This window comes from Homo sapiens, chromosome 20 (genome assembly GCF_000001405.40).
Source record: "Homo sapiens chromosome 20, GRCh38.p14 Primary Assembly".
Classification (NCBI taxonomy): Eukaryota; Metazoa; Chordata; class Mammalia; order Primates; family Hominidae; genus Homo; species Homo sapiens.
In genome coordinates, this window is record NC_000020.11 from 37335567 (window position 1) to 37351105 (window position 15539).

Consider the following 15539-nt stretch of genomic DNA (forward strand, 5'->3'; position numbering starts at 1 on the left):
CAGAACAAGACCTTTTCTCAAAAGAACTAAAAAAGAAAATAAAAGTTATGTGGATCTACATTATTAATTTTAAGGCCGTCATAATTATCTACTTTATTAATGGACTTGTCCGGCTGCACCAGAAATGATAATAATATGCATTCACTGGGTATCTAGCATGTGTGTCATTACACAGCCATATGAGGTGTGTACAAGTATCCCCGTTTTACCAATGAGAGAAGTGAGAGTCGGGGGTTAATGACCTCCAAGGCCACACAGCTACCGAGGCAGGATTCAAACCCAGGTCTGCTCTTAACCGTGATGTTCAGCCACCCGGCAGGTCCCTCCCACTGACCCCTATATTTGTTTCTGCAAAAAAATTCTGATGAGTCAGAGCCCCGTGTGTGCATTTTACCAGTTCCACTTGGAGGGAAACTTTATTTGCAGGGCATTACATTGGGGCAGGAAGGGTTGGGGGAGCAGACATCACCATCCCTCCAGCCTGCCCCCTGGACATCGCACTGCTTCCCTTAGCAGCTATGGAAACCACTCCGACCAGAGAGGGGAAGGGACTTGCCCAAGGCCACACTGTTCAGAGGCTGCACAGGACTGCAGTCCTGGCTTCCGATTTCCCACTGGGGTGTGGATGAAGCATGCGGGACACACGAGACATAGGGATTAGAGGCTCCAGGTCCAAAGGGCAGGGACGGTGCCAGTCTTGGTCACTCACTGCTCACTTGTCTGTCCCCAGCTCCAGCACAGGAGCTGACATGCAGGCCTGAATGGATAAAGACGATAAGGAAGGCAAGACTGGGAGGGATCTCTGTGGAAGACTTCCAGGAGGGGCCGGGGTTGGGCCAAAGGGGAGTGGGGCTTGGACCAGCAGAGAGGAGATGGTGGTACTGCGTGGGCAGGTGTGTGGAGGAGGGAGGAAACCTGGCCTGCTGAGGAGAGAAATGGGTCTGGGAGCAGGCCAGCCAGCCAGAGGGGATGAGTCTGGGCGTGGCCAGAGCAGACCAAGGAGGCTCCAGGCTCCGCCTCTGGGGCAGCCCCACTCCCCCACCAGCCCCCCGTCCCCCAGCCCCACCACAGAGCCCTGCCTGGGTAATTCCTGAACAGGAACAGAAGGAGGAAGCTGTACAAGTGACACTCAGCTGGTGAGTGGGAGGCAGGGTTTGGTTTCCTTTCCAGATGAGCCCTGGGTTTGTTCAGCCCTGGTGCGTGCCCCCACCCCTGCCCCTCCCCTGCTGTCTGTGGCCTTGGCTCAGGCACTGGTGAATCTCAGAGGCCAGGCAGGCCAGAAAGGAGCCATCCAGGCCAGGAAATGGGGAGGTCCTGTTGCGTGGGAATCCCCTGGGAGGGTGGCTTGACGTGTCCCCTTCTCTCTCGGACCAGACTGTGAGAACTGAAAGCTGGGACCGCAGCTTTCACATCCTTCCGGTGTGGCAAAGTCCTTTCCATCCTTCAGGACCCAATCTATTTTATTTTTTTACTTTGGAGATGGGATCTTGCTTTGCTGCCCAGGCTGCAGTGTAGTGGCACAATCATGGCTCACTGCAGCCTCAAACTCCTGGGCTCAAGTGATCCTCCTGCCTCAACCTCCTGAGTAGCTGGAGTACAGGCACACCTACCATGCCTGGCTAATTTTTAATCATTTTTGTAGATACGGGGCCTCGCTGTGTTGCCCAGGCTGGTCTCAAACTCCTGGGCTCAAGTGATCCTCCTGCCTCACCCTCCCAAAATGTTGGGATTACAGGCGTGAGCCATTGCACCCAGCAGAGACTCAATCTAAATGTCCCTCGTTTGGTAAACTCTCCGAGAATCCCCTATCAAGGCAAACTGACAAATGCTCCCCACCCCCGAACTCCTGTAGCACTCAGAACACACTTAAAAATAAAAAGAATCACTGTTTATTGGGTGTCCACAATGCACAGGGTCTCACATTTCACCTCCTTGTTGTACCTCTCAGCATCACTGACAGTTGGCACCATCCTTAGTTCCATTTTACTGAGCAGCTCAGTGGGGCACAGGGAGGTTGCAGGGTTGCAGGCAGTGGGGCTGGGTCTCCTGGATACCAAAGTGTGTCGCTCTCTGGCCCTCCTGCTCATAGTGTTTCAGGGTCTGTTTCCTCTTCTGGCTTGGAGCCTTCAAAGGGCAGAGTCTGTGTCCCTGGAGACCTGGCCTTGGGGAGGTGTTGACCCATGGACAAATCTTTGAACCTCCCCACCAGCCTTCACCATGATGAGGACCTAGGCTGGTGCCTTGTATACAGTAGGCTGTTACTGAATTCTTGTGACATTGAGAAAGCTTGATCTTAGTCCAGGCTCTGTCATAAACTTGCAGTTTGAGTTTGGGCAAGTCACTTCTATTCTCTGGTCCTAAGTTTCCCTGGGTTTAGAAGGAAATGTTTACAGACAAGTGTCTTAACTTCCTCCCTGTCCGAAAATTCAGTCCTTTGCTCTAGAACATGGCACATACCCCACACTCAATTTCCCTTATTATTATTGTTATATTAAGTTTTTTTTTTCTCAAGTGGGCTTGCTAGGGAATCCCTGATTATTAATATCCATGATAGTATAGTATGTTACAATTAACGAACCAATATTGATACATTATTATTAACTAAAGTCCATATTTGCTATGGAGTTCCTTAGTTTTTCCCTAATGCCTAATGTCCCCTTTTTTTTTTTTTTTTTTTTTTGAGACAGTGTCTCGATCTGTCACCTAGGCTGGAGTGCAGTGGCATGATCTCGGCTCACTGCAACCTCCACCTCCTGGGTTCCAGCTATTTTCCTGCCTTAGCCTCCTGGGTAGCTGGGATTACAGGCATGCACCGCCAAGCCTGGCTAATTTTTGTATTTTTAGCAGAGATGGGGTTTCACCGTATTGGCCAGGCTGTTCTCGAACTCCTGATTTCAGGTGTTCCACCTGCTTTGGCCTCCCAAAGTGCTGGGATTCCAGGCATGAGCCACTGCGCCTGGCACCTATGTCCTTTTTCTGTCCCAGGATCATGTCTCCTCTTGGCTTTGATAGTTTCTCGGACTTTTCTTTTTTTGATGACCCTGACAGTTTTGAGGAATACTAGTTAGGTGTTCTGTTTTTTGTTTTTCGTGTTTTTTTTTTTTGTTGTTGTTGTTTGTTTGTTTTTTGAGATGGAGTCTTGCTCTGTTGCCAGGCCAGAGTACAGTGGCGTAATCTCAGCTCATTGCAACCTCCACCTCCCGGGTTCAAGCAATTCTCCTGCCTCAGCCTCTCGAGTAGCTGGGACTACAGGCATGTGCCACCACGCCCAGCTAATTTTTGTATTTTTAGTAGAGACGGCGTTTCACCATATTGGCTAGGATGGTCTCGATCGCTTGACCTTGTGATCCGCCCGCCTTGGTCTCCCAAAGTGCTGGGATTACAGGCATGAGCCACCTTGCCTGGCCTTTTATTTTTTATTTTTTGGATAGTGTCTAAGTCTGTCACCCAGGCTTGAGTACCGTGACACAATCATAGCTCACTGCAGCCTCCACCTCCCAGGCTCAAGCGATTCTCCCACCTCAGCCTCCTGAGTAGCTGGGACTACAGGCATGTGCCCCCATGCCCAGCTAATTTTATTAAAAAATTTGTTTTTTGGTAGAGATAGGGTCACACCATGTCACCCAGGTTGGTCTTGAACTCCTGGCCTCAAGTGATCCTCCTGCCTTGGCCTCCCAAAGTGCTGGGATTATAGATGTGAGCCACAGTGCCTGGCCTAGTCTGGTGTTCTGTAGAATGCCCCACTATTAGAATCTGTCTGAGGCTTTTCTCATGGCTAGACTGGGGTTCCGGGTTCTGAGGAGAAAGACCACAGAGGTAAAATGCCATTCTAATCACATCATATCAAGGGCAAATGTTATCAGCAGGCCCGATCACTGCTGATGTTGTCCTGATCACCTGGCTGAGATAGCGTTTGTAAGGTTCCTGCACTGCAAAGGCACCGCCCCCACCCCTCTTTCCACCCTGAACTCTTTAGAAGGGAGCCACCAAGCACAGCCCACATCTAGGGACTGGGGAGTAATGTTCCTCTCCTTGAGGGTGGAGTATAGTGTGAATATTTTTTCTTCTATCTACTTTTCAAAGTACTCCCACAAAACATTGCTACATTGCATCTTCCCAATGCTTAGGAAATGTGGAGGATGGAGGCATTCCATTGAGGTGGAGGCCAGTGCTCAGAGGGGCAGCAGTGGTTCCCTGCCCGGCCCCTGTGGATCTGGCCTTTTGCTCTTGGATGTGAAATATGCGAGCTTTGAGGTTCACAGACCCGGGTAGCACAGAACCGCAGCACCTGAGTTCCAGATTCAGGAAGGCTTAATTTTTTTTTTTTTTTTTTTTTTTGAGAGGGAGTCTTGCTCTGTTGCCCAGGCTGGAGTGCAGTGGTGCAATCTCAGCTCACTGCAACCTCTGCCTCCCGGGTTCAGGAAATTCTCCTGCCTCAGGCTCCCGAGTAGCTGGGATTACAGGCACCTGCCACCACACCCAGCTAGTTTTTGTATTTTTAGTAGAGATGGGGTTTCACTATGTTGGCCAGGCTGGTCTCGATCTCCTGATCTCAGATGATCCACCTGCCTCGGCCTCCCAAAGTGCTGGGATTACAGGCGTGAGCCACCGCACCCAGCCAGGAAGGCTTGAATTTTGTTTGGGTTTGAATTCAAGGTCCCGCCCTTCCTCACCACGTCATGTCACCTCACTGAGCCTCAGTTTCCTCATCTGTATGGTGGGATAACAATAGCTAGCTCCTACCTTGTTGCGTTGTGAAGAATGAACTAGATGCTACATCCAGAGTCCCTGGAAGCGATTCCCTGCTCAGGAAACTCCTTGCACCAGGACTGTGAGCCATGGTGATTATTTTTACAATGATTCTTTCAGCCCTCCTGTCGTGACCGTCTCCTCTCTGTGCGGCAGGTTTCTCACCCCCTGTGGACTGTGGGGTCACAGCTCTAGCTGCAGATTTCCGGCTGCCCTCTGCCCTCCCATCAGGCCAGGCAGATCAAGGGCCCAGCCTCCTTTCATCTTTTCTCACAAACATTCTGGGATGTGGCGGAAGGAGGCCTGGGCTGGGGTGGGATGGTGGCTCTGCCTGCCAGCAACTCTCTGTGTGACCTTGGGAGAATGCTTGTCCTTCTCTGGGCCTCTTCTGCAGCCTGAGGGGAGTGAGGTGTTGAGCGTACTTGGCCGTCATGCGAGCCCAGTGGGGCCAGGCGTCTCCCCCATTTTCACATGGGCAGGTCTTTTCTGCCTTTGACGTCTGTGTTTTGTCTCCAGATTCTGGGCTGGGTAGAGACACACTTGAGCCTGAGGTTCCCCATCTGTGAACCGGCCACACAGCCCAGAAGGTCCGGCTGTGAGGGTTTGAATGTGTGGGGCTGTGCTCAGTGGTTAATGCCGTTTGAAGGTCACCACTCAGGCGCCACCTGCTCAGGTGCTGCTGTCACCATCTCTTCCCTGACGGGGGCACATTTGTTATGATTAATGAATCAATACAATATTGATACATTATTATTATTTAAAAAAATTTCAGAGGCAGCGTCTCACTCTGTTAGCCAGGCTGGAGTGCAGTGGTACCATCACGGCTCACTGCAGCCTTGACCTCCTGGGCTCAAGCGATCCTCCTGCCTCAGCCTCCCAAGTAGCTGGGATACAGGTGCACACCACGCCTAGCTAATTTTTTGTTGTTGTTTTTTGTGGAGACAGGGGTCTCACTGTATACCCAGGCTAATCTTGAACTCCTAGACTCAAGTGATCCTCCCACTTCAGCCTCGATGCTGGGATTACAAGGCATGAGCCATTGCACCTGGTCTGATACATTATTATAATTGAAGTCCATGCTTTAGTCAGACTTCCTAAGTCTTTCCCTAATGTCTTTTTTCTGCCCCAGGATCATGTCTCCTCTTTGCTCTGATAGTTTTTCAGATTTTTCTTTTCTGCCTTTGACACCCATGTTTTGGACGCCCCTCCCGGTGCTGGCCGCTGGGGGAGAACAAGCTCATCTGCTCCTGGCTCCTGACTCCCATGGGGTTGGGGATGCTTCTCTAGTGTCTTGGGTTTCCCACCTTCGGCCAGTTTGGCCTCACTTCCTGGAACACGGATATATGCCCATGCACACACTCCTGTGTGAGCCAGGCCTTCTGCATCAGCTGGGTCCCCGCTGCTCCTCAGCACAGAGGCCTCCTGACTGCCCCCTCCCTGTCCCCTAATGTGACCGCCACTCCATGTCTCCCCAGGCCCTGCTCTGCTCACCACCCTCCGTGGCTCCCACCACCTCCAGGACAGAAGCCACGCCTGGCACTCAGGGATCCTCAGGTTCCCCTACCACCCTTCCCACCTCACTTCCCCGACTCCAGCCCAACCGCCATGCTGTGCTTCGCAAACACCACCTGCTTCTGCATGGAGTTGCAGACGCAGCGGCGTTCCCCATCTCTGTCTTTGCTCACACTGTCCCTCTACCTGCACACCTGTCCTGTCCTGTTTGTTATTATAATTATCTTGTTTTTTGAGACAGGGTCTTGCTCTGTCACCCAGGCTAGAGTGCAGTGGTACGATCATGGCTCACTGCAGCCTCGATCTCCTGGGTTCAAGTTATCTTCCCAGCTCAGCCTTCCCAGTACCTGGGACCACAGGTGCACACCACCACATCTGGCTAATTTTTAGTTTTTTTTTTTTTTTTTTGTAGAGACAGGGCCTCACTATATTGCCCAGACTGGTCTCAAACTCCTGGACTCAAGTGATCCTCCTGCTTCAGCCTCCCAAAGTGTTGGGATTATAGGCGTGACCCACCATGCCCTGCCTCCCTGTCCCATTTTCACCTGGCAACCATCTCCCCAGGCTTCTAAACTCTCCATAGACAACTCTCTCCTCAACACACATGCTGGGTTGGGGGCCCCACTCTGGGCCCTGCAGCCCCTGTACTTGCCCATCCCTGACTCCTCTAAGTTAGAGACCAAAGACCAGCCTTGGTTTTTTCACTGCTGTATCCCAGCATGTAGCACAGACCCTAGCACATAGTAGATGCTCAATAAATGACCACTGCAGGAGGAAGGAAGAGTGAAGCCAAGCCAAGGACTAGGGGGTGGGGAACCTTCTGGGCAGAGGGATCAGCAAGTGCAAAGGCCTCAGGACAGGGACTGCTTGTGGAGGGACAGCAGGAGGCAGGTAGAGGAGGGGAGGAGACCAGGGCCTGCACAGCACGACATCTCTGTGTAAACTGTGAAGTGCAGTGCCAGGGGAGGTGCCAAGCCCATTCCACAGACTCAGGCTAGAGCCCATCCCCCACCCACCCTGTCCTGTAGCCCTGAGCCTGGTGGCTTCAACTAGACCACTCACAGCACACCATGTGGAGAATGGCAGAACTGTTCTGGAGTTTCCCACTGAGGCCTGTGATGGGTCCAGTTTCCTGGCTGCTGCAGCAAGGGTGAGCTGGGCTGGGGCTGGGCATAGCAGATCAGCCATCATTGAGCCAGGGTCACCAGGGCACTAGGTGTGCTGTGGGCAGCACCTCTGATCCCATGTCATGGGACAACTCTGGCTCGTGGGTTCACTGCCAGTCGTGGAGGGCCAGGCCTCACCCTACCCCCTCCACCCTGCCCTCAGTTGTGGCTTTGGCCCACCCAGGTTGAGGGAAGGAGGGAAGAGGAGGTTTCTGGAGACAGAGGACTATACAACCAGCACTCACCATCTCAGCAATGTTGACGTCAATAGCATCTATCATCTGCTGGGTGCTTTTGGGTTGGGAAGTGGTTCCTGTTGGTGTTCTAAGACTGGCCTGGGGCCATATATACAGTTGGTAGTCAATAAATGCTTGCTGTCCATTAACGATGATTTGCAGGAATTAAGCAATGAGTTGCTGCTTTACCAACAAAGAATGTTTTAAGCAAAATAATTTGCACAAAGAGTCACTTATCTACCAGGCCAGACCAGCAACTCCCAACTGCACAATCCTGGAACTTGCCAGGGTTGTTACCCTCGTTTTACTGATGAGTAAACTGAGGCCCAGAGAAGGCAGGTTCACATAGTCACTGAAGGGAAGAGCTGGAACTTGAACTCTTGTCTGTAGGTCCCAAGTCAGTGTGTGCTGCCTGGCCAACTGGGCAGTGCCTGCTCCGTGCTGGGCATGGGCCAGGCCTTGGTCACTGCCCTCAGGGTGGGGACAGACACACTCAGAACGGACTTAGCACGTGCCTCCATCAGGGCGTGTCAGGAAGCATGTTGTGGAGAAGGTGGCGTTTACTCTGGACTTTGAAGAACAAGGCGAGGTAGCCAGGGACAGGGGCTGAGCCTTCCTGGCAGGGGTTACAGCCTAGCAAAAGCCCAGAGGGGTAGTTAAAAATAAAGAGTGCTTCAAACGCTCAATAATGGAACCATTGTGCTGGCCACATCCTCCTGAGAACCTCAGCCGCTGAGCCAGGCCCTTGAAGTCGGCAGTGGCTTCAGGTGGGAAGCTGCATCTGTGCTTGCAGAACCTTTACTTGTCTAAGTTGCCTCCTCTCTGATAAGAGCATGTAGGGTATGAATGAGAAAGAGATTTCACATGTGCTGAGCGGGCATCACCTCATTTCATCCTTACATGCGTCTTCTGGGGGCTGTGATATCTTTAGCCCACTCTGCAGGTTGGCATACTGAGGCTTCTTACATTATCTGCAAAGTGGCAGAGTTGAGACTTGAACCTGGGTCTGGTCCAAAATCTGTGCTTTTAAGCTCTCTGTCATCCCAGTTCTCGAAAAGCCCAGAATTTTCTGTTGAACTCCTGGGGATGAGTTTAGTGATGTGCTCGTACATATTGAATAACCAGCTCTCTGGAAGAAAAAAGAGGCTTGATTGGTAGCGTATTCCGATGTCCAAGGGGTAAATACTCCCACTGTGGCTGACATGGAGCTATCAGTGTGACATTCTTGAATATGGAGTTGGGAAGAGATGAGCACAGTTGGTTCTTGCAAGTAGGTAAGGGCCAGCTCCAGCGTGTCACTGGGTAAATGTCCCTGCCTCCCCCCCGAGCCCAGTATGGCCAGTAAAGGCCTTTAGACATGTCTAAGGAATGGAAGAGGGCTGAGAAACCTGCTCCTCCAGCTGGGGGCCCGCCCTGAGCCCTGGGAAGCTGCGGTTAATCTTTAAGCCAGCCTTGCAAACAAGTGCGGCCATTTCACCAGCCCAGGCTGGCTTCTGCTGTTGACTGGCTGTGGCACCTCAAGCAGCCCCTTTCCCCTCTAGCCTCAGTTTATCACCGCAAGAGCTACCATTCATCTAGCACAACCTGACCATCCTCACACTGGTCAGTTCCAACCTTCCCAGGAATCTTCTGTGGCCATGTTCACTCCGGTTTTACAGGTGAGGGGGCTGGGCTGGGAAGCTGATCGACTTGTCCACCCCACAGCAGAGGGGCAGCTAGCCTAGATGCGAACCTAGATCAGTGTAGAGTAAGGCTTTGCTCATTCCTGGTCTCCTGGAAGGTATGTTGTACCCAGAGGCCTTTGCCTTCCACATTCTAGGGTGCTCCTCCCAGCTCCTCTCAGCAGGGACCTTTGCCCAGGGAATAGAAGCCTGACCTGTCTGGGCCTTAATTTCCCATCTGTGAAATGGGAGAACTTTCAAAGAAGGAATATGGAGGCAGGTGTGATATTTAAAGCTGGACCCAGGCCCACCTTTCCCTGTGCTAGGATTCCAGGACAGGTAAGGAGCCAAGGGTGGGGTGCCCAGCCCCAAAAGGATAGCCCTGGAGCCTGCGCCAGGGGGTAAGAGGGGAGTCTTTGTGGCCTAAAGCAGCATTTCCTCAATGTCCCGTTTTTCTGCTACATTTCCTGCCCTGGTTCAGAGGTACTTAGCCTCTTTACTTACTTGGAAGTGTGACTGCCACTCAGATGCCCTGGTCAGCCCCTCCTAAGCAGTAATAATTAGAACTAGGGGACTTCCGATGGGCTGCCAGGGATGTTTTGCCCTTATGCACTTAAAATGAACCCGTAACTATTAAAATAAATGTCGCTCCTCCCCACCCTGTCCCTCCTGCCCCAGCCCCTACTTTGAGAAACTCAGGTCAAGGCTAAAGTCCAAGGCCTGGTTCTTGTCAGTGCCTCAGTTTCCCCATCTGTAAAGTGGGGCGATCTTCCGCCGCTCAGGCCAGGTGGTGGTTAGGATTAAACCCTGAAGTCGACCTGAGCAGCTTAGCATGGCGCCTGGCCCAGAGCGGGCGCTCCACGCCCGCTGATATTATTACCAATCGTGATTTCGGGAGAGGCGGATCTGGGGCGTAGAAGGTGGGTGGGTTGGGGAGGGCATTTTGGCCTGGGGGCGGATGGGGCCCGCGGGGTGCGGCGCCCTGGCGGAGTGGGAGGCGGGGCTTCTGTGCCCGGTGTCCCCACCCCGCCCGGACCCCCAGCTCGGGCCGCCCCTGGGTCTCTCCCGGGTCACCGGCGGGGAATCCGTCCCCGCGCGCTTCCTCCTTCCTCCTCCTCCCGGCTGCCTGCCGGGCCCCTCCTCCCAGCTCGCGCGCTCCCTCCCTCCTCTTCCCCTCCCCGGGCCGCCGCCGCCTCCTCCTCCTCCTCCTCCCTTTCTCTCTCGATCTGTCTCTCCCGGCCCGGAATCCATTCCGGCCTGGGAGCCGGAGCGGCCAGGCCGCCGTCTGCCCGTCCCGCTGGACGTCCCGCGGTCCGCCCTCCCGTGCGTCCGTCTGCCGGTGAGCCCGCCCGCCCGCCGGCCCAGGTGAGCGCCCCCCGCCCCTCCGCGGACCCCCCGCCCCGGCCAGCGCGGGGGAGCCCCCGCCCCGGACCACCCTGGCGTCGGATCGCGGGCCGGCGGGGACTCCTGTCCACCCCCCCAATTCCCACCCCCCCTCCGGGCCAAGCCGCGATACCCAAGCGCCGGGCGGGCGCACGGGGCCATGCCCGGCGCGGCCTTTTGTTGTGATGCAGCGGGGGGAGGGGGCTGGGCGGGGGGGGCGCAGGGTTCCTGGCTGCGTGGGGACCCCCTCCAGCTCATGCTCCCCATAGGATCCCCCAGAGAAGCCAGCGAGCTGGGCCCTAGCCCCCGGGCCAGGTCTAGGCCAAATCTGAAATCTGAGCCAGTCGGCGCCGCCTCTGCCTGGGCTGCCCGGCCCTGCGCCCCCCGGCCCCGGGTGGGAGGTGGGGGGATCGGCAGGGCGGGCTGAGGGGCCCCGGGGTCAGGGCGCCAGGCCGAACTGCCAGGACCTCCCTGCCCTCGTGGGGCCTCGGGTAGGGCCTGGTGCTGCCGGCCTGGAAGGGACTGGGCCAGACTGCGTTTGGTCTCCCCTGCCCACAGCCCCCAGCCTCGCCCCTGAGCAGGCCCAGCTACCAGCCGGCTCAGAAGTTGGCAAAAGTTTTGGGGGTTGGCCACCGGGCCAGGTCCACCTGTCTGCCTGGGCTGGGATTGGGGTGGGTTTGAGTCCCCACCAGGGCTGCCACTTGCCCTGCTGTGTGTCCTCAGACAACTGCCTGCCTCTCTGAGCTGGGTTCCTCATTGGTGGCAGGTGGGCCTGGCTGGAATTGCTAGGCTGGTGGAAGGATGGGGTGAACAGAAGGGGCTCACCTGTGTGGTATCCTTTCAGCCCCTGCGTCCTTCAGGTGGACTTAGGAGTGGACAGAGCCTGTGTGTGCCCCTGGGCAAGACCTCCTGAACTTCATGGACTCTGTACAATTTGGGGCAGTGGTTGCTGGGTCACCTGGGGTAAGTCCAGGCCCAGCCACAGCCACAGTGCAGCTGGGATCAGACTTGGTTTCAAGGGTGGGCCAGGCTGGTCCTGTTGCAGACCCTCTTCTCAGCCCCCTGGCTGGGGGATCAAGGCACCGAGTCTTCTTGTCTCACCCAGTGACCTGGGCCAAGAGACTGCCCCTCTAAGTCCCTATACGTGAAATGAGAATCCTCAGGCGAAGATTCTAAGCGCTTCTGCAGGTAGAGGCTTGGCGTGTAGTAGATGCTCAATAAATGAATTGTTCACTGGACACATTGGCTGAGAAAGATGGGTGAGATGTGAGGTTGCTGGCTAGTTCATTCTAGAAGAGGATGGGTTGGTGCCTTGAGAAAGAAATAGCCCTGGCACCGTCCTGCCAGCCAGCAGCTGGGTGACCGTAAGCAATTCACTTTTCCCTTCTGGCCTCAGTTTTGCCACATATAAAACTGGGCCAGTGGTAATGACAGCTGCCAACATCTACTGAACACCTTTTAGGAGGTACAGACTCTTGTTTATCTTCATTTTGCTGATGGGGAAACTGAGGCTAAGAGAGGGGAAGTGACTTGACCAAGGCCCTATAGTTGGAAGCTGGAATGAAAGCCCAGACCTCAGAGACCACAGTCTGGCTGTCCCTGCATCCCTCCAGTGATGGGGCAGTGGAGGTTCGCAAGACAGGACTGCACACACAGCAGTGTCGGAAAAGACTGCTCTGCTGAGGGATTGAATGAAAGCCACGAGGCCTTTTTGGTGATGTGGTGATGTGGTCTTTCCACCCAAGGAAATGATTTACAGTGTGTCACCTCTCTCAGCTGACTGCCTGCCTAGGCCCTCCCGCGTGCCCCTGGGCCTTTGCTCCTAAACTGTGTCCCTCCCAGAGTGCCCTCTCCTCCAGGTGCTGCTTATCTGCCCTTGCCCCGCCAGGCTTAGCTTAGGCCCCTCTCTTCTAGGAGGAAGGCCCGTGGCTCTCTCTCCCTGTCCCCTAGCTCTTGTTGGAGCATGACTTATCCACAGCTCAGCCTGGTTCCTGCTTTTGCTTCTCTGATTGTGACCAGGGGGGTGGGGTGGAGGGATGTCTGGCTCCCCCAAGCCCCAGGAACCAGAGAGGAGATGGCTCAGTGACCTGTTGAGGGACCTTCTGCCCATCTCCGTGGTCCTCAGCTGACCCCATTTTCTCAAACCTCCCCATGTATAAGCATTTGTGACCCCTGTATTGAGCACCTGCTGCGTACCAGGAACTTGGAACTCGGGCTGAGCAGTATTGTGCTGGGGTTAGCAGGGAGTGGGAGCTGTGGGAGTCATGGAGGCTTCTAGAAGGTGGCAGGGCCTGAGCTGAGGACGAGCAAGAGTTCACTTGGCAAAGAAGGGGAGAGGGAGCTCTTTTTTCCCTTCCCAGGGGCCCTGAGGTGGTGGGGTGTGGTCAGCCTGGTTGGATACTTGCTGGGGAGCTGGGAACAGGTCCTTGGCCTCCCAGAAGTTTGAATCTGGAGGGTGAGCAAAGTTGCAAACAAGTTGCCAGTTGAGTTACTATATAATCACAGATATGATAAGGACTCAGGGAGAGAGGCCTAGGGTACACAGGAATCTTGAAGAGGGCATGTAGGGGTTGACCAGGCATGGAGTTAGGGAAAGGGCTTGCCAGGCAGCAGGAAGTGCATGTGCAAAGGCCCTGAGGTATGTGCCAAGACGTGCTGTCATGGAGAATCAGTGGGGGAAGCTGTGAGGCTGGAGCGTGCACAATGAAGGGGAGTGGGTAAGAGGTAGAATGAGGGGGTGTATCAGCAGGGCTGGACCATGCTGGGGCCTTGTGGGCCCTGGGGAGGAGTTTGGCCTTCATTGTCACACAGGGGGCTGATCGGTGTCCCCTGTGTGAACAGCCCCAAGCTGGAGGCCAGAGGTACAGAGCTGACCAATAGAAATAGATCTGATGATAGACCTAGATCTGTAGGCTGGACTCCAAAATTTTATGGAGGCCTAGATCAGGTCTCAAGAGGAGCGGGTATTTGAGGCTGGGCTTTGGAAGTGGAGTAGGAGTTCACTAGCAGCAAGGCTGGAGAGGATGAGAGCCGGGGGTGTGGGAAGTGCAATGCTGGGTGGCTGGAAGCTGGGAGTGAGGTAGGGAGCAGGGAGGGGTCAGCCCGAGAGATGGGGACCAAAGGTTTGGTAAGGGCTTAAGAGTCAGACAGGCCTGGGTTTATGTTCTGACCGTCCCACTTGCTGTGTGTCTTTGGATCATTTACTGTATCTTTTGAGAGACTTAGTTTCTTTGTCATGAAAATGGGGACAACAGATACCTCCTTGTTGGATTAGGGTTAAAGGAGGGCTGTGTGCCCAGTGTCTGGCACCGGTAGGTACTTGGCAAATGGGACCTGCTTTGCGCTGTTGCATTGGACAGGTCACTCGGCCTCTCTGGGTCTGGCCCTGCTAGCTCTGTGGTCAAGCCCTTGCCTGGGTGATCTCATGGAGTCTGAAGGTGCCGGTTGGGGCAGGGCTGGCTCGGGAGAGGATGTTGGCAGCCAAGGCCGCCAATGTGCAGGGTGACTTTGAGTCCTGCCCTGCCCTCTCTTTGCCTTCTCTGTGTATGAAGAGGCTAAACTGGGGAGAATGCCATGCGTCTAGCCCCAGCCCCGCTTCTTCGAAGCCTGCCTTCGGTGTGATTGGTCCCATTTTCCGGTTGTAAGTACTAAGACCCAGGAAGGGAAAGCCACTTGCCTAGGGTCTCCCAGTTGCCAAGTGACAGGGCCAGGCCTTGGCTGTAGGCTCTGGACTCCTAGTCCAGCAGAGCCACTGAAAAAGGCCACCACTTCCCTGCTCTGGGCCTTTTGCCGGAGCTTCATTTCCTGCCTCGGTGTGTGTCCCCACATCTCTATCTCCCTTCGGATTCCCACAACCCTTTCCTTCCCCTCCATGGCCCCCACCCCTTATCTCCGTGGGAAACCCCTCTGGCTTCCCCTTGAGCTCCTGGGGGCCACTTCCTCTGGGGAGCCTCAGTTTCTTCATGCCTGAAGTAGGATAGTGAGTCATGGTTCCCAGGATGTCCCAAGAGGACAGAAATAAAGTGCTTAGCACACATTAGGGACTCAATCAGTGGAGGCGGGGGAGGGCCAGGCACCTGCTCAAGTCCTGCCTCCTCTGGCAGCTGATGCCCTGTCCTGTGATTCAGTTTCTGAAGCTGTGAAATGGGCCTAGGGCTTGTACCTGGTAAGGCTAACAAGAGGATGGTATGAGGCTGTACCTTAGGTCCCCACCTGGTGGCTGGCTCCGTGTCGCTGTTCCTGGGGGAGGGAGACCCAGTAGAGGCCTCCCCTGTGTTCAAGGCCTCATTCCCTGCTGTTTGTCCAAAGCCAAGTCACTTAGTCTCTCTAAACCTCAGCCTCTGCACACCTCCCTTGTGAGGATTAAATCAGCTAATGTATTCCCCGTGGCTCAAATCTACTGGGTGCTTAGAAAATTTTATATTTTTCTTTCCCCATTCTCCTCCCTGTTGGGGACTCAGATATTATCTAGTTTAGGGAAGCTTCTGGGCTTTCATCCCCCTGGCCTAGAGTGCTGTGTTGAGAAGCATTCTGAGGCTCAGTGTTGGCTTCATGGGAAAGAGTGCTGTGATAGATTAGTCATGTCTGCCATGGGCACAGGATAAGAGAGTATTGTATGTGTGCCATGAGTTTGTCATTCTTGATCTATTCTGACCTTCTCCTTTCACAGATCGGGGGGATTGAGGCTAGAAAGACCCAGGGCAAATCATCTACGCTGGGAGAAAAATGCAGAGCTCTTGTCTTCGATCCAGGACTCTCCCCAGCCAGCCAGCCTCCTCCTTCCCACAGTACAGCCTGGTAAGGCTGAGTCAGGGATAGATGACCGGGGAGGA

At 54.5% G+C, this 15539-nt stretch overlaps 1 protein-coding gene and 1 long non-coding RNA gene across 21 annotated transcripts in view, besides 8 other annotated features; one reads left to right on the plus strand and one right to left on the minus strand.

Moving 5' to 3' along the window:
* Positions 754-1253: an enhancer, noted in NCBI's record as "H3K4me1 hESC enhancer chr20:35964723-35965222 (GRCh37/hg19 assembly coordinates)". NCBI's record gives its function as "activates a minimal SCP1, AML or CMV promoter by ChIP-STARR-seq in naive H9 embryonic stem cells {active_cell/tissue: H9 hESC(naive)}" and the evidence as "EXISTENCE:reporter gene assay evidence [ECO:0000049][PMID:30033119]".
* On the minus strand, positions 1874-9029 carry LOC105372606 (uncharacterized). Its single transcript, XR_936699.2, has 2 exons — positions 7673-9029; positions 1874-2367 (listed from the first exon to the last, which is right to left on the minus strand). It is a non-coding gene; the product is annotated as an uncharacterized LOC105372606 (long non-coding RNA).
* Positions 4570-5102: an enhancer, noted in NCBI's record as "H3K4me1 hESC enhancer chr20:35968539-35969071 (GRCh37/hg19 assembly coordinates)". NCBI's record gives its function as "activates a minimal SCP1, AML or CMV promoter by ChIP-STARR-seq in naive H9 embryonic stem cells {active_cell/tissue: H9 hESC(naive)}" and the evidence as "EXISTENCE:reporter gene assay evidence [ECO:0000049][PMID:30033119]".
* Positions 8497-8556: an enhancer, noted in NCBI's record as "active region_17836". NCBI's record gives its function as "activates an Ori minimal core promoter by ATAC-STARR-seq in GM12878 lymphoblastoid cells {active_cell/tissue: GM12878}" and the evidence as "EXISTENCE:reporter gene assay evidence [ECO:0000049][PMID:35858748]".
* Positions 9133-15539, plus strand: part of SRC (SRC proto-oncogene, non-receptor tyrosine kinase) — a 61352-nt gene continuing 54945 nt past the window's right edge. For 5 of the 20 annotated variants that reach the window (XM_047440405.1, XM_047440408.1, XM_047440397.1 and 2 more), the window contains exons 1-2: positions 9133-9321; positions 9483-10689. The gene's annotated coding sequence lies outside the window, so the exon portion shown is untranslated. Of the gene's footprint in view, positions 9322-9482; positions 10690-11551; positions 11671-15376; positions 15505-15539 lie in introns of those variants that run through there. The other 15 variants (XM_047440407.1, XM_047440396.1, XM_047440402.1 and 12 more) reach the window with 5 other exon arrangements.
* Positions 9943-10022: an enhancer, noted in NCBI's record as "active region_17837". NCBI's record gives its function as "activates an Ori minimal core promoter by ATAC-STARR-seq in GM12878 lymphoblastoid cells {active_cell/tissue: GM12878}" and the evidence as "EXISTENCE:reporter gene assay evidence [ECO:0000049][PMID:35858748]".
* Positions 10213-10512: a silencer, noted in NCBI's record as "silent region_12889". NCBI's record gives its function as "represses an Ori minimal core promoter by ATAC-STARR-seq in GM12878 lymphoblastoid cells {active_cell/tissue: GM12878}" and the evidence as "EXISTENCE:reporter gene assay evidence [ECO:0000049][PMID:35858748]".
* Positions 11063-11222: a silencer, noted in NCBI's record as "silent region_12890". NCBI's record gives its function as "represses an Ori minimal core promoter by ATAC-STARR-seq in GM12878 lymphoblastoid cells {active_cell/tissue: GM12878}" and the evidence as "EXISTENCE:reporter gene assay evidence [ECO:0000049][PMID:35858748]".
* Positions 11063-11583: a biological region, named in NCBI's record as "H3K4me1 hESC enhancer GRCh37_chr20:35975052-35975552".
* Positions 11083-11583: an enhancer, noted in NCBI's record as "H3K4me1 hESC enhancer chr20:35975052-35975552 (GRCh37/hg19 assembly coordinates)". NCBI's record gives its function as "activates a minimal SCP1, AML or CMV promoter by ChIP-STARR-seq in primed H9 embryonic stem cells {active_cell/tissue: H9 hESC(primed)}" and the evidence as "EXISTENCE:reporter gene assay evidence [ECO:0000049][PMID:30033119]".